The following is a 25,571-nucleotide window of genomic DNA, read 5'->3' as shown; positions in this document are numbered from 1 at the left end:
AGCTCCTCTGCGCCCACCTAAATCTTTGCTTCCCTCCTGCCGGGTGCTGCCTCTTACAAACCGTCAACCAGCACGAGTACGCGACTTAAGAGCAACATGGAAACAAATCGACATTTTCACAGTGCAACTCTTTTCCCCCCTCCTACAGATGGAGAGTGTTGGCGTGTACGGATTCTGTGGGTGTAAAGCAAAGAACAAAATGAAGTGTGATTCAAGGTGGGAAATAGCCGCTTCAGGTAGGAAATTAACTAATGTGTGTAAGTATCAAACTGGCATCTGAAATAACTGCCCCAGAACCTCATTCCTGTCGAGAGGGACTAGGTATGTTTAAAACTGGGACGTTTAAACTTCTGCACGTGTAAGATGTTTGCCAAGCCACTGCTGCAAAACCTGCTTGTTCAGAACACCAGCAAGGGGGAAGAGGTTTGAGAGAATTTCAGAGGCACCCTTGAGTCAGGAAACAAATTCGTTTCCCACCTATCCAAAGCCTAGAATCATCGCTGGCCACACTCACACGCACAGATTGTGGACCTAGCATCCGGGTAGCCTACCGGCCTCGTGCTGTCTTACTGCCCTGCTCTGGTGGCCCTGGGAGATTGGCTCTGTGAGGGCCCATACAAAGGCAGGAAGAGATGGCCTCTCGCTCTTCTGGACTTATTTTTGCCTTAACATGTCTCTCCTCTCAGAGGACTGGTCCTCTTCCTCCTTCTTCTTTGGTGCCTCCCTCCAATTCTGGAGAAAACAAGTGGACTATTCATGTAAAAAGAGAAAGACTGAGAAAGGGAGGGGGAGATGCCACCGACAAACTCCATTGAAAGCCACTGGCTGTTCATTTACATTCACACTTTTAAAACATGTTAACTAATGATGTTAAATGGTTTGCCAAAGGTCCTGGCAGGTCAGTTGTAGAAGTGTCATTTCTGCCTAATTAGGGCTCTTGTGGCTGCCTGGGGCCTCCCAGTGCAACCGGTGACAAGCCGAGAACTGACAGCTTCAATTGCAGCCAATAGGAAGGTTGGGCTGGTCATGTTTTCCAACTCAGCCAGGTGTTTGCTGAATGGGGGAGGGGCCTGGCGAGATCTGAGCGCTTCTATGATCCTTTTTCTTTTACTGCTGCCTCCCAAGTCCTTCCCCTTTGCCTGTCTTGTCTTGTGTCAAGGTCAAGAATGGGCTTCGCTAAATCAGCAATTTGGGTTATCTCTGGGAGGCCATTAGCAATCCCCAGCCCAGACATTTCAAGTGGTCTCAGACCCCAGATGCTAGATTTTTTTCTCCGTAAAAAGCAGAGAGTAGGAAAAGAAAGGGAATGCTTTAGGTGAAAAACAACAGTAAGAAGGAAATAAAACAAAACAAAAACCCAGAAAACTCTGTGTAGCCCTGAAAGTGTTAAACTTCTGAAGACGTAATAATAAAATTGCTTAAGGAGAAAACCATGAAAGCATCCCGATCAATGCTTTAAATATTGGAAAGAATAAAAGACCATAGTGAAAACAAATTCTGTAATACTCAGTGGGATAGACAGTGCCTGTCACATCGTAGGTGCTCAATAAATAAATTTATTGATCTGAATTGGTTTTTCGGGAGAAAAATTATTGTCTGAGCAACAAAGAGTGATTGGTTGAGATTTTGCTCTTTTTCATGCTTGCTTTAACTCTTTCTATCATGTTCTTTGAACTTCTCAGTTGACCATAAAATGCTTGCTAAGTTGTAGTTCCACATTATGGGTTGGCATGATTATCTTGTTTTTTTGTTTTGTTTTGTTTTTAACGACTTAAGCAAAATACCATTAATTCTCAGCTCCCCCAGGCTGCAGCAGCTACCACACAAAGAAGCAGTCCTATGGCAATGACAGGACATCTGTGTCCAGGATTTGGATTTGACGAACTGGCAGTTCCTGCAGGGATGACGGTACTCCCTAGTTGTGTCTGAATTGGACGCACCAGCACTTGAGCACACACAAACGCACGTGAACAGACGGAACATGTTATGGGCCTGTTAGCCAAGGAATGACAGAATTAATCCATGGGCATTTGCGGCCAGTGTTGTGTTAAACTAAAGGGAAAAAGTGAACTGGAAAAAGCAATGTTTGTTTTATGAAAATCTCAGACCCAATCCTTAGGTGACAGTTCTGGAAATGAGGGGTGTCTAAAACAAAGGGCATCTGAAACTTCGGTTTTTCAGCTTCCTTTCCTTGTCTCATGACCTCTTTCCTACCCGCTGCCTCTGTTTTCTCTAATATGGAACAGTGAAAATGGGGGCCAGCAAAACAGATTGCTGATGTCTGTTGATTTTATCAAAGGAAGGTTAGATTGAGTAAGATGGCATAAATAAGCACACATAGGACAATACCTGGCATATATCAGGTGCTCAATAGCAGTGAATTCTCTCCCTGCTGTCATGAATTCTTGAAGGTTGGAGACCATGCGCTGTTCTGCGTGCCAAGTTATTTTTTCGGCCTGATAGCAGGTGAGCTACTGAGTGAAGACAGAGACTGGACGCTAATTCAGCTCTGAATCTTCAGCACCTGGCATGGAAGGTGCACAGGACATATTTGAAAAAGGAGAATTAATAGAATTGACCAATAGGCTGACCTCCTGAATGATGACTGAGCAAATTGATCTAGAGGTATTCAAAACAGTTTAGTTGACTGTCCCAAACTTTCTCAGACCTCTTCTGCCACTGACTTCCCTGAAAAGACCCTTTGCAGCCAGGCACGGTGGCTCATGCCTGTAATCCCAGCATGTTGGGAGGCTGAGGTGGGCGGATCACGAGGTCAAGAGATTGAGACCATCCTGGCCAACGTGGTGAAACCTCGTCTCTACTAAAAGTACAAAAATTAGCTGGGTGTGGTGGCACGTGCTTGTAGTCCCAGCTAGTTGGGAGGCTGAGGCAGGAGAATCGCTTGAACTGGGGAGGCGGAGGTTGTAGTGAACCAAGATCATGTCACTGCACTCCAGCCTGGCAATAGAGCGAGACTCTGTCTCAAAAAAAAACCAAAAAAACAAAATCAACCCTTTTGCATTTTTGTCCTATCCTGTTTTCCGTCCCCTTGAGACCGTATCACACGTTCTTTTTCCTCTTTGGTGACCTTCTTTGTCTTTCTTGCTGCTCCTGTACACTGTTGTTTACTCACACTGCTTTTATTCTGAGCTCTCATATCTCTTCTATTTCTGGTTCTGACGCCTATCTTGTCTATGCCTCGCACACTCACCTCCGACTCGGAGTCCTGACCTGCACAGCTGCGATTGCGGTTTGCACACTTTGAGGGTGAACAGTTGTCATGCAGCCCTTTTGAGTGCTAAAAAGTGACCACTTAAGATTTTCCTCGTGGTTAGGAAGATGAGTATTTTAAAATCATTCTGGAGGAGATTAGTGGTAAAGAAAACCTTCCTCAGCAACTAAATCATTGTGGAAAAATAAGCCAATTAGTCACTAAAACAAAAACCTTTTGAAGACTTGTGAACAGAGGAAAGAACATGTGAATTACAGGTTTTCTGTTTTGTGGCATTGATAGACTCCAGTAGTATTCATGATCGCTGATCATCGCGATGGGGACCCCGGAAAGGTGAAATTATGTTCAGTTGAATATTACCTAACCCTTCTCAAAGGACAATTTGATTTTGTTATTCCATTGTTAAGGGCTTTTTGGTGGCCCTTCGAGATCTGGCTCTGGCTTCTCTTTGACCTTGAACCCTCACTCTGGTTGTGCTGATCTGCTGACCGTCCTCCGGACACGGTAGGGTGCTCCATGCCACAGGGCCTTTGAACAAACCTTTCTTATCCTTGGAATAAATGCCTTTTCTTCCTTTTGTTCCCCTGCCAAACACATGCTATTAGGAAAGATTCAACCCCATGTCATCACCTCCACAAAGCTTCTCCTGACACCTCCCAAGTTAGATTGACCTTTTTCTCTTTTGTGTCCCCCACTGTCGAACTTGATGTTCTTGTCAATGACAACAATAGTGGTAACAATGATGGTTTCCTTTCATTGAGTGCCTTTTGGTTCCAGTAAGTGTAAGTGCTTTCACTTGTTATATCATTTAAGCCCTGCCACCCTATGAAGAGGCCACTATTATACATACAGTCATGCATTGCTTTATGACAGGGATATGTTCTGAGAAATGCATTATTAGGCAATTTCATCATTGTGTGAACATCATAGAATGTACTTCCACAAACCTAGATGATATAGCCTGCCTCACAACTAAGCTATTATATGCAGGACAGTCTGCTGCTAGCTGCTTCTAAGCTACAGACCATATATATGTATATATGTACATATCCTCTCCCTGCCCCTCTTGCTCTTTATATATATATGCATATACCTATAATATATGCATATTTAGATAGGCTTTTATATGTATATTGTATATATGTACATATATACATTTATTTTTTGAGACAGGGTCTTGCTCTGTCTCCCATGCTGGAGTGCAGTGGTATGATCACGGCTCACTGCAGCCATGACCTCCCAGGCTCGAGGGATCCTCCCAGCTCAGCCTCCCAAGTAGGTGGGACTACAGGCATGCACCACCACATCTGGCTAATTTTTGAATTTTTTTTTGTAGAGATGGGGTTTCACCATGTTGCCCGGTTCTCAAACTCCTAGGCTCGAGTAATCCACCCAACTTTGCTCCCAAAGTGGTGGGATTATAGGTGTGAGCCACCGCAACCAGCCCATATATGCATATTTAATATACATGTGTAGCATATACATACACATATACACATCTATGCATATAAATTAACAATATGTATATATGTGCATAAATTCACATATATTTTCTGTATAAAGACAGCAAGAGAGGCAGGCGGAGAAAGAATCAGTTGCAGTCTGGAGGAATATACGTGTGTTACATGGTTTCCCTGCCTTTAAATTCTCTGTTAATCTGTATTCCTTGTAAAGTAGATGACAGCATGTATCTTGGCCTACATGTTTCTAAAGACAAACCTCTAAGCTCTTGAAGTTCTGCCATGGTGTATCATAGTACATTGAAGTCAGAAAGCCCATTAGAGGAGGAGGATGCCTGGCTAGAATAGTGTTCTTGAGTTTTTCCATGTGTATTGTCTCAGGTAGGAAGATGACAAGTCCTACTTTGTTCTTGTGTGATTCCCCATCATTCAGTCTGTGGAGGCTGAGCTTGTTAATGGTGGTGAACACGAGTTTCGTTCTTTGCCAGGAGTGCCCACCAGTGCCCATAACGCCCTCCCGGAATGTGCCGGGCAGTATGTTTAGGGTAAGACTGACTAACGACCCAACACTGACAACGGCCTTAGCACAAACCCAAAAGGCTCTGCTAGAGCTCAGAGGCAGCCACGAGATTGGGAGAGCTGGATGACGGTTTGCTAAGAGAATTCAAGCTGTCAGTCCTCCTGTGTATCCTTTGGATTCTGTTATGCTGTTGCTTGTAGAGGGAAAAAGTTCATGTGTCATTTATATACAAGTGCCCATTTGACATTGAGTGAGTCACATTTATTTTACCCTATATGAACACAAAATCTCTGTTTTAAAATCAGATTCTAGAACTTTAAAAGGGTTCTTATGTATTGTTCTGAAGTAACTCAGTGGCTCTTGGTGAGCCCGCCCCACCTGGCCTGTTGGGTGACCCTCTTCCTGCCCCCTCACCGGTTCTGCTCCTTGTTCCTCTCTCTGCGCCTTGGCTCCCCTTCCCAGAGCCCTTCCTCTTGGTCTTGCCAAATCCTGCCCATCCTTTGAGAAACGCTTATGCCCATGGCTGTCTTACCCCTTCCTGCTTTGCTGTGGTATCCATTAGTCTGTTCTCGCGCTGCTAATAAAGACATACAAAAGACTGGGTAATTTATAAAGGAAAGAGGTTTAATGGACTCACATTTCCACATGGCTGGGGAGGCCTCACAATCATGGTGGAAGATGAAGGAAGAGCAAAGGGACTTTTTATGTGGCGGCAGGAAAGAGAGCTTGTGCAGGGAAACTCCCATTTATAAAACTGTCAGATCTCATGAGACTTATTCACTACCATGGGAACAGTATGGGGGAAACTGCCCCCATGATTCAATTATCTCCACCTGGCCCTGCCCTTGACACGTGGGGGTTATTACAATTCAAGGTGAGATTTGGGTGGGGACACAGCCAAAATATATCTGGCATATGCAATCTGATCACCCCTTCCAAACTTCTCTCTTAAAAATGCAACATTCTGACAGCATGTGGAGGCTTGGATGGAAACACGGTAAAAATTACAACATTGTTTCTCACACTTTTGCACCAAAGTGATACAAATCGCAGAGCTGAGGCAACTGGTGTTTCTGCGAGAATGGAATGGAATGTGGTTGAAATTTTGTGTTGTTTTTTAAATATTTGCAACTATTTGTCATTCTTCCATAAAAATCAGAATTCATGGTTGTGTACATAAAAGTAATTTTCTAAAGTGTGCCTTTGTGTGTCCTTGATGCAGGACCAGCTTGGACTTGTGACCTGTGCAGTCACACAAGGCCCTGCACGTGGTTTAATGCTCCGCTGTCACCATCTTGAAATTCTTAATACCTTGAACGAGGGGTCCTGTATTTTTGTTTCATGCTGGGCCCAGCAAATTACATAGGTGGTCCTCCCTTTGGGGTTCTGCAAGGCAACTAACTGTGAAGCATGCATCGAGTTACAGTTTTAAATCTTAACATGACTTCATCTGTTATGGCCTACCCAGGACAGTGCAGGAAGCTGGGTGCCCTTTAAGAAAGGAGTCTGGGCTGAAGGAGATGGAGAGGTAGGAAGGGTTGGGGTCCTGAATGCCAGCTTTGCCAGGGCCATGCCTCGCAGCCATGTCCTTCCTGCCTGTCTACCACAGGCCAGGAGGTGAACAGTCATTCTGTAATTCACATGCAGTAAAGCTTTTTGAGAGTTCTGTTTTTCACCTGGAACTGCCAAGTCATTTGGTGAAGATTTCCTGCTTGTTTGAAGTCTGCAGAGAAAAACCGCTAATGAAACATACCACATTTGGAAATGAACTTTTTAAAGTATGTATCCATAAGTTCTTATTTCAGCTCTTCCTTTTATTCTATAAATGCCTGTCTTATTTCAAAAGGGACTTTCAGGCAGAGGTATAACAACATAATAAGAACAATACATTTGAGAAACAGAACTGAAAAGAAACTAAGGCAAAGTCAGGGGTAAAATTGGATCACAAATGCATACCACGAGGTCTTACTGAATTTAAAATTTACAAATGCCTGTAAGCTTCCCAGTCGCAGAACAAAGGAACACAATTGGTCATATCTATATGCAGCAGGAGAAGGGTTGGGCGGACAGCAGCTCGCAACTTGGCTTCCACCGTCTGCCGCAGAGAATTTAGAGGCGTCTTGGGAACATGAGTGGGGCTATCCAGGAATCTGTTTACCTGAGGGACTAAGTCCTGTCCCTTGGACATCCCCAAATAGTCCAGAATGAAGCTTTATTTGGAGAAGAGGGGCAGTTCGGAGCACTTCATGACGTCTTGTCACCCAGTTTGTCCCACATCTGCCTTCAAACTGAGTGGGACTTGAGCAAACAACACCCAGAGCTTCACTCTTCCCCACCACTGCGCTGGCCCTGCGGTGTTGTGAGTTGGTGGCTCCAGTGACATGGCAGTGGCGGTGAGCCTGGCGCTGGCAGTGTTGGTGACACTCACGTGGTGGTGGTGGCACCAGCACTGGCGGTGTCTGTACCAGCAGGAGAGGTAGCACCGACACCTCCAAAGTGGATGCAGCAGCATCACAGTGGCTACAGGTGCCAATCGGCTGTAGTAGGTGTGGAGGCAGTGGCTGGGAGTGGCTCGCAGCAAGGGCGAGCTCTCTGGACAACTCCATGGGTGACAGAAGCCTGGACACGGGAGACCTTGGGGAGCCTTATCCAAGGAGGTGCTTGAGGCTCCCCCTTGAGGAAGACCTCTCCATTGGTGGGGGAATTTGGAGCCAAAGAAAGCTCCTTATGTTGTCAAAATGTCCCTTTTTTAACCTTAGGATATTGTGACCCCTGAAGGTATTAATGATATTCTAGAGCATTTGAAAGACAACAGCCAACTAGCTGGTTAAGCGCAGCTCAGTTTTTCCCCAGTGTGTGTGGGTGGCTGAGCACACATTCATTAATTCAGTGATTCATTCAGCCAACATCTGCGGAACCCCTGCTGGCTTCTGGAGTCAGATTGCGGGGATCTGAATCGGGCTTGCCACTTACTAGTCTATGACCTCGAGCAAATGACGTGATTCCTCTAATACCCAGTTTCCCCATCTGTAATATGAAATGTGAATACTAAGTATCCGCCTCATTGGGTTTTAGGAGAATCAAATGCATGTCAAGTGTTTAACATGGTGCCTGGCACAGATTAAACATCCAAGAAGTGTGAGTTATGATTAAAGGCTGTGAAATGTACAAAGAGCCACATAGTCCCCCATTCATTCAAGCATTTTCTGTCCATATAAGGAAATGCTACATAGCCCAACTCCAGAAGGCTACACATTAACTGGGGGTATCACACAGTAGAGAAATTATGGGTGATTTGATTTGATTATTTATCTGCTTTTTAGGAATTTTCCAGTGTATGTGAACTGTTTGTGAGATCTTAAAACAGAAAGAAAAGCAACCCCATTTGCCCTTCCCTTTGGTACTTCTGTGACACCCGTGTCGTCCATCAGTTCCCATGCAGGCAGGGGCGGTGACACTCACGCATCTGTAGATGGCTCAGACTCTCAGAAACTTCTTTCTTAGAGGATCTGCTTGTAGTTTCTGGCTTTTACGTTTCATTCATTATTCATTCATTCGTTCATTCAAGAAATACTTATTAAGCACCTCTTGTCTGCCAGGCACATTGATAAGTTCTGGTGAGTGAAAGCCAATGGCTCCCTTGAAGGAGCTGGTAATTTATCAGGGTTCTCAGACTGTCATCCAATAATTAAATAAATATGTCACGACAGATGGAAGTGAGATGAAGGCAAGGAACTTGGTGCTGTGAAGGTGGACAGCAGAGATGAAGGTGGAGGGAGGCGGGGGAGGCTTCCCTGGGAGGTGACGGGAAAGCTGAGCTGTGAAGGTGCATAGGAGTTATTGGGTGTGTGTGGGGGTGGGGCATGTGCGGTCCAGACAGAGGAGCAGAGTCGACTTCGGGGCCACACAGAGAATGGAATTCCCTTTCCATGTGACAGCCCTTCACACATCTGTAGGTGGCTTCTCCCCGGAAGCCTTTCTGTTGTATTCCTGCCTTCTTCAGCTTTTCTGCCTAGGATGTGGTTTCACAGCCTGTTTTCATTCTGAGATCCAGTTTGTTCGTATCCTTCTTTTTCGATAACAATTTTATTGAGCTATAATCCACATGCAGTACAATTCACTCAAAGTGTATAATTCAATGATTTTTAATATATCACAGAATTGTGCAACCATCACCATGATCAATTTTAGAACATTTTCATCACCCCAAAAAGAAACCCTTATACCCATTAGCAGCAGCCACTCCTCGTTTCCCCCACCAATCCCAGCCCTGGGAAACCATTAGTTGCTTTTGGTCACTATAGATACACCTGTTCTGGGCATTTTTTATAAATGGAATCATACAGGATGCATTCTTTTGTTTAACTGCTTCTTTCGTTTAGCATAATGTTTTTAAGGTTCATCCATGTTGTAGCATGTATCAGTACTTTGTTTGTTTGTTTGTTTTTGAGACAGAGTCTCACTCTGTCACCCAGGCTGGAGTGCAGTAGCACCATCTAGTCTCACTGCAACCTCTGCCTCCCAGGTTCAAGCAGTTCTCCTGCCTCAGCCTCCCAAGTAGCTGAGACTACAGGCACGAGCCACCATGCCCTGGTAATTTTTTGTATTTTTAGTAGAGATGGGGTTTCACCATGTTGGCCAGGCTGGTCTTGAACTCCTGAGCTCAAGTGATCCTCCCATCTAGGCCTCCCAAGGTGCTGGGATTACAGGCATAAGCCACCACGCCCGGCCACTTCATTTTTTTTTTAAATTTACTTATTTTTTTTTTTTTTGAGACAAGGTCTCACCCTGCCACCCAGACTAGAGTAGAGTGGTGCAATCACAGCTCGCTGCAGCTTCGGCCTCCCAGGCCCAAGTGATTCCCCCACCACAGCCCCCCAGTAGCTAGGACTACAGGCGTGCACCACCACACCCGGTTAATTTTTGTATTTCTTCTAGAGATGGGGTTTTGCCATGTTGCCCGGGCTGATCTCAAACTCCTAGGCTCAAATGATCTGCCTGCCTCGGCCTTCCAAAGTGCTGGGATTAGCCGGGTACTGTGGCTTATGCCTGTAATCCCAGCACTTTGGGAGGCTGAGGCAGGCAGATCACAAGTTCAGGAGATCAAGACCATCCTGGCCAACATGGTGAAACCCCATCTCTACTAAAAATACAAAAATTAGCCGGGTGTGGCGGTGCGCATCTATAGTCCCAGCTACTCAGGAGGCTGAGGCAGGAGAATTGCTTGAACCGGCAGGCGGAGCCTGCAGTGAGCCGAGATCATGCGACTGCACTCCAGCCTGGGTGACAGAGCAAGACTCCATCTCAAAATAAACAAACAAACAAACAAAACACTAAGTGGTGGGATTACAGGCGTGAGCCACTGAGCCCAACCAGTCCTTCACTTTTCATTGCTGGATAATGATAATATTCCATTGTATGGATAGAACATGGTTTGTTTGTCCATTAGTCAGTTGATGGATGTTTGGGTTGTTTTCATTTTGGGGCTATTATGAATAATGTTGATATGGACCAGTTTGTGTGTGGATGTATTTTTTCGCTTCTCTTGGGTATATCTTAGGAATGGAATTGCTAGGGCATATGGTAACTCTATATTTAACCTTTTGAGGAACTGCTAAACTGTTTTCCACAGTGGGTACACATTTTGTATTCCTACCAACAGTGTATGAGGCTTCTTATTTCTCCACATCATTTCCAACACTTTGCATTATCTGTCTTTTTGATTATAGTCATCCTTCTGGGTGTGAAGTGGCATTTCATTGTGTTTTGATTGGCATTTCACTTATACCTTATGATGCTGGCATCTTTTCAGATACTTAGTGGACATTTGTATACATCTTCTTTGTAGATATATCTGTTCAGGTTCTTTGTCCATTTTTAAATTGGGTTATGTCTTTTTATTATTGATTTGTAAGAGTTCTTTATATATTTTAGATATAACTCCCTTATCAGATGTATTATTTGCAAATATTTTTTCCCATTCTGTGTGTTGCCTTTTCACCTTCTTGATGATGTCCTTCAAAGCATGAAGGTTTTTAATTTTTATTAAGTCCAGTTTAGCCATATTTTTCTTGTTGCATGTGGTTTTGGTGGCATATCTAAGAAGCCATTGCTAACATAAGGCCACAAAGACTTATATCTGTATTTTCTTCTTTCCTCTCATAAGAGTTTTATGGTTTTACCTCTTAACGTTTCGGCTTTTTGTGCATTTAGAATTCATTTTTGTATATGGTGTGATGTAGGGGTTCACCTTCCTTGTTTTACATGATATCCAGTTGTCCCAGCACCATTAGTGAAAAGACTATTATTTCCCCACTAAATTGTCTTCACCCCCTTGTCAAAAAGCAATTGACTATACATGTGAGGGTTTATTTCTGGACTCTGAAATTCTATTCCATTGATCTGTCTGTCTAGCCCTATACAAGTACCACACTATCTTGATCACTGTGGTTTTGTATTGAGTTTTGAAATTAGAAAGTGTGAGTCCTCCAACTTTGTTCTTCTTTTTCAAAATTGTTTTGTTTATTCTGTGTCCCTTGCATTTCTTTGTGAATGCAGGGATCATGTTGAGACTGTAGATCATTTGGGGGGGCATTGCCATTTTAATGGTATTAAAAATCTTCTCATCCATGAACCTGGATTACCTATGTCTTCTTTAATGTCTTTCAACAGTGTTTTATAGTTTTCAGAGAATAAATTTTTCACTGCTTTTGTTAAATGCATTCCTAAATATTTTATTCTTGTGATGCTATTGTAAAGGGAATTGTTTTCTTAATTTTATTTTTGGATTGTTCATTTCACATCCCTTTTAAAACGTGGTCCCTGGAACCATCAGATTAGCACTGAAGACAGTGGATGTTCACTTCAAACTTGTGGATATGATTCTGTACTCTAACCTCAGACAAAGTTAAGCTTTTTGTGGAAGAGGTGAGTTGGGGTTGGGTGGTTGGCACACACAGCACACCATTGACTCATGTCAACAAAAGCCCCTCACACCTTTTTAAGTCGTCTGCTGCTAGGCCATGCCTTCCTTATTCTGTACCTGGGCAAGTAGCTCTTGGGTGCCAGAAATAGCTCCTTTCCCTTTCCATTGCATATTCTTGGGTCCAGGCCATTGCTTCTAGTCTAGGAGTGAGAGTGATTTGGATGCTGATTCTGACCCTGAGTCATGACATCTTTGTTCCCAGCCTATCCACGAATGCAATAAACATGGCCTCTTTATTTTCATTCAAGCCAGTGATAAAAATGTCCAATGGGACTTTGCAAAGGATAGAGGCTTGAAGTCCTGAATTCAGAACCTCTCTCTGAGAACATTAAATTGTAGCCTCTGAAGAACCGTATCCAACCAGTCCCCAAGCCATCCAATGGTCCATGCACCAAATTCATGTCAACCCCATTGAACTTATCAAATGCCCTACTGAATTCATAAACTCTTGATCTCCCTCATTTCTACCGGTCTCTTAATCCTATCAAGGAAGGAAACAAGATTCTCTTGAAAGAGTATTTTCTCTGTGAACCCACAGGGCGTCCTGGTGATTCCTGCTTTCTGTATGTTCATAAGCCACAAATCCCCTCTAACAAGCCATTCCTGAATTGTTTTCATCAGCCAGTTGTTCTCTTATCATGAGAGAATTAACCTCAGATGGAGAAGCTGAGGATCACCGAAGGGAAGGTCAGACATAAGACTGGTAAGTGTGAAGGGAAGACTAGAACCCAAAGCTTATAGTGGCATGTCCTGTGCTTCCTCCACTGGTAATGGAGAGAGACAGTTCCCGTATGGACAAAGACTTGAGCAAGTGTGGAAGTGAGAAGAAACTCAGTTATCCACATCCCATGTCCTCAGATAAACCCAAGTGTACTACTTACTTTACACAAAGTGAAATACTACTGCTCTATACAAAGTGATGTAAATGCCTTAGCGAACACCAAAAGATAGGCATAGCACGCAAAGCTGTCTTTTAAATCACATTTGTGGTTTCATATTATCTCATTTAATTCGGATTCCTCTTAGGCCTGGATTATCTGGATTACATTAATTCAACAAGCACCTACTCCTGTTTTTTCAGACCCAATGGCAGGTTCTGGTGTTTCTGAGCTGTAAAGGGCATAGTCCCTACACTGTGGGAGCTCCCATCTGACAGGGAAGGTTGACAGGTGAGTCCAGCCCACTGTGGTAGATGGTGACTTGCCGTGCCACTCCCTGAGGTCCAGGCTTTCCTCTCATGCAGTCAGGATGGCAAGTGACACGGGTGGATCAGCGTGGAGCCACAAACCAGTCAACAGATAATGATTTCACATCTATCATATGCTGAGCACAGTTCTACACATTATGCAGCACTGGATAAAAGTACAAATCCCTGCCCTCATGGGGCTTCCATTCTAATGTATGTATGTGTGTATGTGTGCAAATCTGAATATGTTAAATGATAAATGGTATAGAGAAAAAATAAAGCTGGATGGGGAATAAAGAATGATGGGCTAGAAATGAGGTTGGAATTTAAAATAGGGGTTCTGGGGAGGCCTCCTGAGAAGGTGGCATCTGAGCAGCAGCCTGAGGGAAGGTGGGTCATCAAGCCATGTGGCTGTCCAATGGAGGAGCATCCCAGGCCGAAGGAAGGGCTGTGCTAAGGTCCTGAGGTAGGAGGTGCCTTGTGTGTTAGAGCAAGGAGGCCACTTAGCTGGGAGATGAGGCCACGTAGGGCCTTATAGGGCCTGGCAAGGACTCCAGCTTCTCCTCTGAGGTGGGAAGCCAGGGTCTTGAGAGGGAGAGTGACACGATCTTACATTCTGTACTTATATTTTTGAAAGATCCCAAAGGTCATGTTGGGAATAGACTTTGGTAGGAAGTGGGGTGGCAAGAGGAGAGGCAGCAATTATGATGATGTAGGTGGAGATGGAACAGATGTGAATTTAGAGGAGAAGGTGGAGGGGTGAGAAGCAGACAGATTTTGCAGGGGTGCAGGGGGAGGCCATAGGATTTCTGGGGACTGGATATAGTTGTGAAAAAGAGAGGAGTAAGGATGATGCTGGCATTTTGAAGGGTGGAGTCACCAATATGATGTGCCAGCAACTGGAGGAGGAGGAGTGGGTTTGGGGTGGAACCTGCTGATTTGGAGATCAGGTGTTTGGGGGTCTGTTTATTAGAGTTACCTGTTAGACTGCAAGTGGAGATATGGTGAGCTCCGACTAGAAATGTCAACGTGGACTCATTAGCATATAGTTGGTACTGAACACCAAGAAAGCGGAAGAGATCCCCCAAGGAAAGAGTGTAGATGGGAATGAGAGGTCTGAGGACTAAAGCCTGGGGCATTGTCACATTCAGAGCCACAGCAATGAGGTGCAACCAGTGAAAAAGTCTGAAATGCTGTGCCGGGAATGAACAAGACAAGCAGGAGGATGTGGTGTCCTGGAAAGCAAATGAAGAGGAGAGGGTGGTGACTGGCCACGTCTGATGAGGGCTGAGAACTGATGCAAAGTCATGGTCATGTGACCATACCATTGGTGGAAACAGCAGGCAGGTAACACTCCTGGCTTCCTCCCACAGGATCAGTGTAACCGCATCCCTGACCAGGTGATCACAGTGACTGTCTCCTGCACAGATCTCAAACTCCACGCCTGTCCTCCCACCCCATCATGGTCCCTAAAAATGGCAAAATTAATCTCTTTCCCTTTGATACTCTCACGTCAACAAGTATGTTGCTGTTCAAGATGTTTGTCTCTTATTTTTCCTTGATTTTTAATTTTTTAAAATATTTTGCTGATCATGTCATATTTGTCTAATTCTAATGGTACTGACTCAGTACAACCCATTTTTACCAACTAAAAACACATAAATTGGCTGGGCACAGTGACTCACGCTGGTAATCCCAGCACTTTGGGAGGCCAGGTGGGTGAATTGCTTGAGCCTGGGAGTTTGAGATCAGGCTGGGCAACATGGTGAAACCCCATCTTTACAAAAAAATACAAAAATTAGGCATGGTGGCATGTGCCTGTAGTCCCAGCTACTCAGGAGGCTGAGGTGGGAGGATTGCTTGAGCCCAGGAAGTTGAGGCTGCAGTAAGCCGAGTTTATGCCACTGCACTCCAGCCTGGGCAGCCCTGTCTCAAAAAACAAACAAAAAACCAAAAAATCCTATAAGTTGTTTACAAACATGTATGGCTACATACAGATTCCCTTAGAAGTTGCATTTCCATTATACATATCCTACAGTAATAACGATTTTCCCACGTTGCCATCATTCTCTGAATCAGTCTTACCCACCTATCATAGCCTGTTGAGGCTGCTGCAACAAAATACCTTAGGCTGAGTAATTTACAAACAACAGACATTTATTGCTCACAGTTCTGGAGGCTGGGAAGTCCAAAATCAAGACACCAACTGATTTGGTGTCTGGTGAGGGCTCGTTCCTCATAGGTGGTGCCTTCTGTGTGTCCTCACATGAACAAGCTCCGTCAGCTCTCTTTTATAAGGGCACTAATCCCATTCACAAAGACTCCACCTTCATGACCCAGTCACCTCTCAAAGGCCCCACCTCTTAATACAAGCACACTGGGAATTAGATTTCAACATAGGAATTTTGCAGGGACACAAAGACTCAGACCACGGAACCCTCCTATGTAAAGTGCAAGGGGAATTGTCTGTTCTGCCCTGTCTGTTGTGGGTAGGGGTCAGGGGACCCAGGGAATCTAAGAAGTGGAGCCATCCAGATGAGAGGGGCACAAGGGCTTCTCAACTGGATGATGGGCATTTGGGGCAGAAAGGAAAGCAAAGGCTGAATCTCAGAACTGGGAAAATGCAGGTGATTTTGGGACCAGTGAATAAGCAGGGTGTCACGGGACACAGGGCTTGGGGGTGCTGCTTGTGAAGAAGAGGAAAAGTCAAGGGTTTCCCTTGTGGAGCATCTGTCTCAGGGAGAATGGGACCAATGGAGACAGACACATGGGAACATCAGACCCAGAGAGACAGGAATCCAGCGAGAGAGAGTGACAGGGGCTGCAAAGGGTTAACAGAGAAGGTCAAGGTACAAGCCTGGAAGCAGGAAGGGTGCCCTTAGGTGCGATGATTGCTCCTGGAGACACACTGCAATGTGTTGGGGGTAAATCTCTCACCATTTTCCTTTTATTTAAAATTCTTACCAAGACAGATTTTGATTTTTACACTCACTGATGGAAACAGAACCATGATTTAGGGATCACATACTCCCATGTCCCTTGTCCTAACATTTCTTATCTCTGACAGTTACATTTTTCCCTCTGGGACATCAGACCACTGTGTCAGTGTGTTGTGGGGAGGTGCTTGTGGCCTTTGCTTTGGTGGGGACAGCACATGGAGATGTAACTGTGTCCCCCTTCCATACGTCACTGCCATTACAGTTTGCATCAAGCAGCTGAGCAGAGCAGGGAAAAGAACCAGTGGGTGACCTGGGACACCACGATCTGACTATGGGGCGGGCCCAGAGTCTACCTCGCTGGGCTGGGGCACAATCCTACAGGGGCCAAGAGAGACAACCTATGATGCAACTGTGTCCCCCTTCCATACATCACTGCCATTATGGCTGGCATCAAGCAGCTGGGTAAAGCAGGGAAGAGAACCAGTGGGTGACCTGGGACACCACCACAGGGTAGGTCTGGCTGTGGGGCAGGCCCAAAGTCTACCTCCCTGGGCTGGAGCATGATCTTACAGGGGCCAAGAGAGACAACCTACCAAGGCTCGTAGGTCCCTGATTGTGACCAAGCTCATATGCCAGGTTGAGGCATTGAGACTTGATTCTGTAGCTCAGGGAGAACCATCCAAGTTCTCAAGGAGAGGGTGAGGTGGTCAGATGTCTTCCTAGTTGGAGAGGCCCCTACTGGCAGTGTGTGGCCAGGGAAAGGTGAGAGGCAGGGAAGCCAGACAGGAGGCTGATGCAGTTGCCCAGGTGAGAAACGATCACTCCTAACTCAGGGCAGAGACCCTGGAGAGGAAGAGGAAGCTGGAGGGGAGAGTGTCATTGTAAGGTCAGGTAACAGGAATCGGCGCCTAATTGGAGGTGGCGAATGATCCAGGATGTCTGCCAGGTGTCTGACCAGGGCAACCGAACTGCTGCTGCTGCTCTCAGCATCCGGACGGAAAGCAGTGAGATGGTCTTGTATCATCTTCATGTTTGCAGCTTATCTTGACTGACCCACATTCTTCATGTTTGCAGATTATCTTGACTGACCCACATTCTTCATATTTGCAGATTATCTTGACTGACCCACATTCTTGAGGCAGAGGGTTTTTTTGGGGGACTTTGGGTGACAAGCCTGAAATATTTTAACAATGGCCGCGATTCTCCACTTCTCTTCATTCTATTGGCAGCCTGACACCCATCGCTATGGTGGTGGAGCACAGAGAAATCTTAAATAGAAGATCATTATGTGTAGGTATGAATATGCCATCCCCCCCACCCCCACCCACACACACACACTGGATTTCCTCTGCCAGAGCCTTGAACCGAGCGAATAGAAGACCAGCCTGTCCCTGAACTTGACGGCATCAGGAGTAGCTCCACTAAGGTCACCGCAGAAGGCTGTGCCGAGGGTTAGCACCCAGCACAGAAGCCGGCACCTTGTTCCCTATTGTCTCTGGAATGCCATTGTTTTAATTAAGCCGACTTTGTAGCCAGGGTTCATTCACTACAGACAAAGCCTCTGTTAGAAAAAATTAGACCTCAGAAACTTCTAGAGAGCGAGGGGTGGAGGGTGGAATCACAAGCCACTGGCGGTAGAAGTTTCTGTTCTAAATCCCCGGGAAAAAAAACAGCAAATGGGTTTCTCCTTTTGTTAATTGTAACAAAAAAATAATAAATATGAAGTAAATCTGCATGGTGGGGTGGGGGAAGGGGTATAGGTTGCAAGAATGATTCTTTCTTTCTGCCTAAGAAATACAGTTTAAACAATCCAGATGATTCCAGCAAACTGTAGATTTCATGTTTCCACATTCGACAGCATAGTTGATACATAAGAAGGAAGAACGATTTGAATCGTGATGTCATGACTGGAGCTGCTGATTGTTTTAACACAGCTCAAGGATTGATTTCCCCACCAGAAAAATAAACTTAGCCTCAATCCAATACTGAGCAAAGGTGTTGTTGGAAGCGTTTTGTAACCCAGAGCATAAAAAGTCATCTTTTAAACCATAGTACCAGAAACTGGCGAGGGCTCCAGGCAATTTTAACCCTCTGGTATTTCTCATTAGGAAGACTTTTGTCACCCTGAAAAGAAGGAAAAACCCCATTTAAAAAAATCATGAGTGGCAGATTTTCAGGGAGACCACGCAGCTGCAACCATCGGAATTGGATGTCGGGGCTGTTTTACGTGAGCAGGACGGCGCCGGTTAAGCTTTCAGGAGCTGTGTGTCTCACCAGCTTAAGGTTAGGAAGTCAGGTGCGTGAGCCACATGGCGCCTTCTCTGCTCGCTCCTTCAGTGACATGATTTGGGTGCTGTGAAGTTTGGAGTTAGAGCTGCTAAAAACTCCAGGCCTCGGAGAAAAGGTGAAGAGTGCATTGATCAAACTGTAATTTGGAACATCATTGCCTGGCACATGGCCAACATTCTCTGCCCCGTATGCGGGGTGCCAGAGACCAGGCCAGGTGTCCTCTGCCTCTGGGGATGGCAGCTGAGCAGGAAGAACAATGGTTTCGGGAATGTTTTATATAGTCACTCGTCTGTCAGGGGCAAGATGATATGAATGTGGCAGAAAGAATGGCTTATTTGGAGCTGGAAGGTCAGCGATTGCTGAGTAATCAGGCTGAGTAAGCCAGTGGTCTTTGCGTGAGGGCTGAGACTCCAGTTCTGGTATGCCACTCACTCCTCTCTGCGGCCAGCATGCGAGTTCCTTTCCTTCTCCAAGCCTCAGTTTCCTCTCCCATAAGATGAGGAAGTAGCACCCACCAGAGAGGATGCGTGGGCTTTGATGGAGGTAATGCACCTGCACAGCTCAGCACAGAGTCTGGCCCAGTCAGTGCTCAGTGAGGATTTGTTCCAATCCACAGCCCGGCTCCTTCCTCTTAGGGCCGCGGGGGCCGAGAGGGAGAGCAGAAACACGAATTCCCTGGAGATACACATTTTGTCTTACAGATGCACTGCTTGGGAATACAGCCCTTCCAACAACAAGCTTTCTGTTTTTGAGCCTTGTCAACAGCACATGCCGAGCAGCAGGCAGAGTGCACTGAAAAGAAGGATTTGTGGCTGGCAGCGTTTGGTGGGGGAGTTGGAGGGAGTGGCCCGAGGGAAAATGACAGAGTCAGGGCCCTGCCATGTTATCCTAGAGAATCTACTTACCTGTATAAAACGGGGTAGCAGTTTCCTAGTTCCTTCCTGGGTTTTTTGCTTATTTGTTTATTTTACTTATTTATTTTTTTGAGACAGGGTCTCACTCTTCTGCCCAGGCTGGAGTGCAGTGACGTGATCTCGGCTCACTGCCATCTCCGTGTCCTGAGTTCAAGCAATTCTCCTGCCTCAGCCTCCTGAGTAGCTGGGGCTACGGGCACGCACCACCACACCTGGCTAATTTTTGTATTCAGAAAATTACATGTGGAAATGGGGTCTTGCCATGTTGGCCAGGCTGGTCTCAAACTCCTGGCCTCAAGTGATCTGCCTGTCTTGGCCTCCCAAAGTGTGGGATTGCAGGCATGAGTCCCTGGGCCTGGCCCTCTGTCTATTTTTTTTTTTTTTTTTTTTTTTTTTTGTCTTTTGGATCTGAGGCAGAGGATATCCACCACTCTGGGCAGATTTATAGGTGACCCAAAGTTGGAAGAGGCTGGCTGATTGATCAGCTGCTGATTTCAAAGATATCTCAGAAATAAGAAAAGAGCTGGTGCTAATTAAAAAAAAAAATGGGTAGGGATAAATGTAAAGTCGTGTACTTAGGTTCAAAAGTCAACTGTAAATAAACTGCATAACTGCAAGAAGAGGGGATGGTGTAAAAAGAGTGTAGGGTTTATCCCAGTTTACTGAAAAGATCAGACTGCCCCTTTGCTGTCTGCTCTCCATCTGATGGGTTTTAGGAAACTAAGTCTTAGCTCTGGTTGAAGGGAACTTATTCCCCCCTTTATAACGTAGGCTGTATTTTTAGAAAACAAATTTGCAACCCAATCACCCTCTCATACAGAACAGGAGAGGTATGTAACTTCCCAGCAAGGTGATGGTGGTGAAAGATGATCCCAATCTCGCAATGGTCCGTGGTACTCATTCCCAGATGTCCTTACCTGGTGGTGATTCAGCAGGTCCCAGAAATGTCCTTTCTCTTTTGGCTCTGAGCTGTCTAGTCTGGCCCAAGTCCTGGTCTGGCCTTTCCACTAGGACACAGCTGGATGAGGGGTCATCAGGAATACTGGGGAGGGAGGGTGGAGAGTGACTGCCAGCAGAGAAACTCCAGTTTTTACAGTTTAGCAAAAATGTTCAAACCCATTATTGGCTGGAGTTGAGTGCAAAGTCCCATGGGGGAAAAAGTTCATCTTTGGTGCAGGTGGGTGTAGGTAGCAGATGTGGCTTTTCACTTGCTGAGATATGTCACAGGTGAGCAAAGATAAGGGAAAGGCTAGGAGGCAAAAAGGGGGTTCCTGTATGGATCCTCACCAACAGCTGGCCGCCCTCTGCCTTGGGAACTCCACTTATATGTCAGACCTTCCATGTGTGACTTTATGTCTCTTAGAATCTTTTCTGGCTTCTCCTCTGTGCTTCTGTCTGAGTATTTTCTATTGATTCAGTGATCTTTTCTGCTCTAATTGCCCTTTAAACCATCTACTGACTTAATTTTAGTTATTCTAGTTTTCAGTTCTAGAATTTTCATTTAATTCTTTTTTAAAAAATAGATTCTAATTCTTTGCTGAAATTCTCTGTCTTTTAATACTTCCTCCATCTTTTCCTCTGTTTTCTTGAACATTCCTATGATAGCTTTTGAAAAGTCCTTCTTGGCTAATTCCAGCATCTGGATTATCTGAGGGTCTGTTCCTATTGTCTTTTTTTCTTTTGGATTCTGGTCATTTGGTTCTGTTTGTCTGTCTGTTATTCTATTACTAGACATTTCTATAATTTCTTTTTTTCTTAGCAACAAGGTCCCTCTCACTTTGTTGCCCAGGCTGGAGTGCAGTGGTGGGATCACAGCTCACTGCAGCCTTAATCTCCTGGGGTCAAGTGATTCCCTTACCTCAGCCTCCCAAGTAGCTGGGACTACAGGTGCTCATCACCATGCCCAGCTATTAAAAACATTTTTTTTTGTAGAGAGGGAGGGTCTTGCTATGTTGCCCAGGCTGGTCTTGAACTCCCAGGCTCAAGCAATCCTCCCGCCTTGGCCTCCCAAAGTGTTGGGATTACAGATGTGAGCAACTGTGCCTGGCTTAGAGTTTTTAATTGAATGCCAGACATTATGTATAAAAATGTGAGAAAGCAGCTGGGCACAGTGGCTCACACCTGTAATCCCAGCACTTTGGGAGGCTGAGGCGGGTGGATCACGAGGTCAGGAGATCAAGACCATCCTGGCTAACACGGTGAAACCCTGTCTCTACGAAAAATACAAAAAAATTAGCCGGGCGTGGTGGTGGGTGCCTGTAGTCCCCAGCTACTTGGGAGGCTGAGGCAGGAGAATGGCATGAACCCGGGAGGCGGAGCTTGCAGTGAGCCGAGATCGCGCCACTGCACTCCAGCATGGGCAACAGAGCAAGACTCCATCTCAAAAAAAAAAAAAAAATAGAGCTCTGGATGGCCTCTTTCTTTAACGGCAGATAAAGTAGGAGCTGGTGGCTGCATTCCTCAGGACCTTAGCTCTTGCCTGCCTTTGGCTTACCCCGTCCAAAGGTTGTAGCCTTCCAGGTCCTCCACTCGAACCCAGAGAGTTCATCAGGGCATCTCCCCTGTGGCAGGTCCTGGACTTTAATCCTCATCACCGTGGCTTCTCAGGATGGCTGGAAACTCCTAACTGCTTTTCAAAAGTTTCCTGCTTAACGTCTTAGCTTCCTCCCTCCCTACACAGTTTCAGAACTTGGCAGATGTCTCATGGTGGAAAGTGGGAGTGTGTTGTTCCGTCTTTTCTGTCCTTCCTTTTTAGAGGAATCCCAGCCCTGCAAATCCCTCATTTTGGTCCCTCCATTCCTGTGAGGCTGCCCAAAGCTCATCTGTGTCTGCGCCTCTTTGACGTCGACCCTGGCCTGGGTCCTTCGCCAGATCATCAGCCTCTTGGGTCAACACCTGGAATGAGCAGATTCCCTGAAGGAAAGAGTGGCAGCAGAATGTCGGCTCACCTTGCCATCCAGGGGCCCCTGCTGTGAGGTTTTTGTCCTTGTGGGTCCTGGTCATCTCCACAGCTCTCCAGTGCTGTACAGGAGGCTTTTGAATTTGGTCTCTGCTTTCCTTGCTGGTCTCAGTGGTTGCAGTGGTCAGCCACAAGCCACTTCAACTGACAGGAAAGTCAAGATCAGTTTTCCTGATGGTTGTGGGGGTTCCCTGATTTTATTTTATTTTATTTATTTTATTTTATTTTATTTTTGAGATGGAGTCTCACTCGATCGCCTAGGCTGGAGTGCAATGCTGCAATTTCGACTCGCTGCATCCTCTGCCTCCTGGGTTCAAGCGATTCTCCTGCCTCAGCCTCCTGAGTAGCTGGGATTACAGGCACGCACCACCATACCCAGCTAATTTTTGTATTTTTAATACAGATGGGGTTTTACCATGTTGGCCAGGCTGGTCTCAAACTCCTGACCTCAGGTGATCTGCCTGCCTCAGCCTCCCAAAGTGCTGGGATTACAGACATGAGCCAGCGTGCCCAGCCAGTGTCATGATTTTAGTAAGGCAGGGGGCAAATATACAAAGTGTGTCTTTGTAATAGGTACAGGGCCCAAGGTAAAGGGCCACTTTTCCCAGATGAATACAATGACAAGCCTCTCCGTCTCCCACTCAGCCTCTGGTTTTGTTCCAGAAGACGAGTGGCCAGACTGGGAGGAAACAACAGTCCCTCTGCACTCTGGCCTGGCCTGGCCACATCGGGGTGACTGCTGCTCACCGCCGCCATTGAGGGAGGGCTACTAGGATGCTGGAGTAATGGAGGCCCGCCCTGGAATCCCTGCGGTGGCACTTGACCCTCACTGAATCCCTTCCCATGTTTTAAGACATGTAAACACCACAACAAACCTACCGGGTAGGGGTTATTGCTATTACAACCAGTTGACATATGGGAAAACCCGGGTGCAGAGGTCATGGGCAGAGCCCTACGGAGCGCAGGCAGTTTGATTCCAGCACTCACCTTCTTCACCATGCCGTCTCACTGCCTCTTAATAGATGTGAAGATGTTTAGCCTGACAAAGAGGAGACAGGGGATGGGGACGGCAAGGCCAATCTTTTTTTTTTTTTTTTTTTTTTTTTTAACAAAAGCAAAGAGGAATCCAAGTTAGGCCCAATATGAAGGAAGATCAGTGAGAAATGCCTGGAGCAGGACCAGCTGCCTTGCCTTTGGTGTGAGGGAGAAAGGGAGCTCCCGGGTCCTGGAAGATCTAAGAGGCTTGACAAGGTGATTGGCGCAAGGAGGGTCTGAGTGTAGATGGCACAAGAGCCTTGCGGAGGTGGCCTGGGGGCCAGGAATCTTAGCCTGACTCTTATGGGAATGGGAATTGGATGTGAAGCCCTTGAGGCTCTGCATAGTCTCAGCCTCAGTCTCTCTCAGCTCCCTCTGATTCTGCATTGGCCACTCTTCTCCTTGCTTACCAAGCTCCAGCCACACCAGTGTTTCTGTTTCTGGAAGAGGCCATGTGTTTTCTTGCTCTTAAGCCTTTGCCCAAGTGGTGGCCTCTGTCTTCCATTGCTATCATGGCCAGCTGTTGCTCACCCATTAGTTCCAGCTGAAATGTTGCCTCCTCCAGGAAGCCTTCCCTGACCACCTCATCCCAGGTAGCTCCTTCCCAGTTAATCTTATCCCTATGGTTTGTTTCCCTTGTGGCACTAACTACAGCCGGTGATTATCTTTGTTTTGTTGTTTTTTGGTTTATAGAAAGTGAATTCCGTGGGGCAGGACCACATTTTTCTTTTTCATGAATGTGTCTTAAATCCCTAGCATGGTGTTGCACACTTGTTGAACAAATGAATGGCCTTGGCTAAATTACCGTGGGTCTCAGTTTTCTAATCTGTTCAACGGAGAGGAGCTGTAGGGGAAATTTGATTAGCGCACTGGTTCTCAAACTTGAGCCTACATCAGAATCACCTGGAAAACTTGTAAAACCAGATTGCTGGCCCACCCTCAGAGTTTCTGATTCAATAGTTTTGGAGGAGGGGGCCAGAATTTTTGCATGTCTAACAAGTCTCCAGATCATTTTGATGGTGCTGGTCCAGGGATCACACTTTGAGAACCACTGGGTTAGACCATCTGCAGAGACCCTCAGGCTCGCATCTTTAATTTTTCTGATAAGTGACATGGTGAATATGAAAGTGCCGTGCTTATACGAACTGTATATATAAGTGCAAGAGATGTTTTGAAACATAACTTTACCTTCAAAAGGAAAAGGGCAGGGGAGGTGGTAGAGAGGAAAGAAAAAACCCTCGTCTAAATCAGGAGGGATTAACACCTACTGATGGGGTTTACAATGGCCAAAGGTCAGTTAAATGGAAGTGCCTGTGGACCAGGACCAGGGCGTGGGGCTGAGCTGGTCTCTGGGAACAATGCTTGAAAATGAAACGGTGGCTGCAGCCGGGAGGTTTCAAGAGCGCTTCCCGCCGGCTCCGCATTTAATCTTCACCTTGGAGGGTAAAACCAGAGAATCGAAATTAATAAGGGAAGTACAGAGGCTAAACCAGGGGGAAAACAAAACAAAAGAAGAAACACCTTGCGACCCCAGCACCCCCCATGGCTTGGAGCGCTGCCTTCACCTGGCTGGGTGTTTTATTTGTTAAGCGCTGCTCAGAGTTCACATTCTTCAGTTCTCCTTCGGTGGGCTTCGGTTGTTTTCCACCTCTCTGGTCCACATAGCCTTGCATAAACCAACCCGTGTCTTCCCCGGGTCCCTCCCCAGGGATCCTGTGCGACTGGAAGAACCAGCCATGACAGGTTTTAGGTAGCTGCCCTCTTTCTCTCCGAAAGTCTCGCCTTTTCCAGTGCTCTGCCAGTTCTGTATACCCAAGAGGAAGCTGCAGTTATGGCGGTGAGCAACATCTGTCTTTTTGAATCCTCTTTTTAGGAAAGGGTCCTTTGGAGCAGATGCAGTAGTGGGGACAGGCCTGGAGAGGCGCCAGAGAGCAAGAAGCTGTCCAGGCGCTGGCACAGCAAATATTGGAACCGCCAATTTTCCTGAATCCCAGGAGTGAGTGGGTTTCCCCCGCAGACAGTCCCCGGCGTCGCTGAAATGTGTTGATGAAA

At 46.0% G+C, this 25,571-nt stretch overlaps 1 protein-coding gene and 1 non-coding gene across 4 annotated transcripts in view; both read left to right on the top strand.

Moving 5' to 3' along the window:
* The window catches only part of HSPA12A (heat shock protein family A (Hsp70) member 12A), a 179,556-nt gene that overhangs the window by 15,577 nt on the left and 138,408 nt on the right, over positions 1-25,571 (top strand). For all 3 annotated transcript variants that reach the window (XM_005269673.6, NM_001330164.2, XM_011539579.3), the window contains one exon: positions 149-236. In XM_005269673.6, the coding sequence (XP_005269730.1) occupies positions 149-236 (88 nt within the window). The remainder of the gene's footprint in view (positions 1-148; positions 237-25,571) is intronic.
* MIR9851 (microRNA 9851) lies at positions 7,603-7,683 on the top strand. Its single transcript, NR_162126.1, has one exon. It is a non-coding gene; the product is annotated as a microRNA 9851 (primary transcript).

The sequence above is a fragment of the Homo sapiens genome, chromosome 10, assembly GCF_000001405.40.
Source record: "Homo sapiens chromosome 10, GRCh38.p14 Primary Assembly".
Classification (NCBI taxonomy): Eukaryota; Metazoa; Chordata; class Mammalia; order Primates; family Hominidae; genus Homo; species Homo sapiens.
Note: the sequence above shows the minus strand (reverse complement) of the source record. Positions and strands in the feature narration are given on the sequence as shown.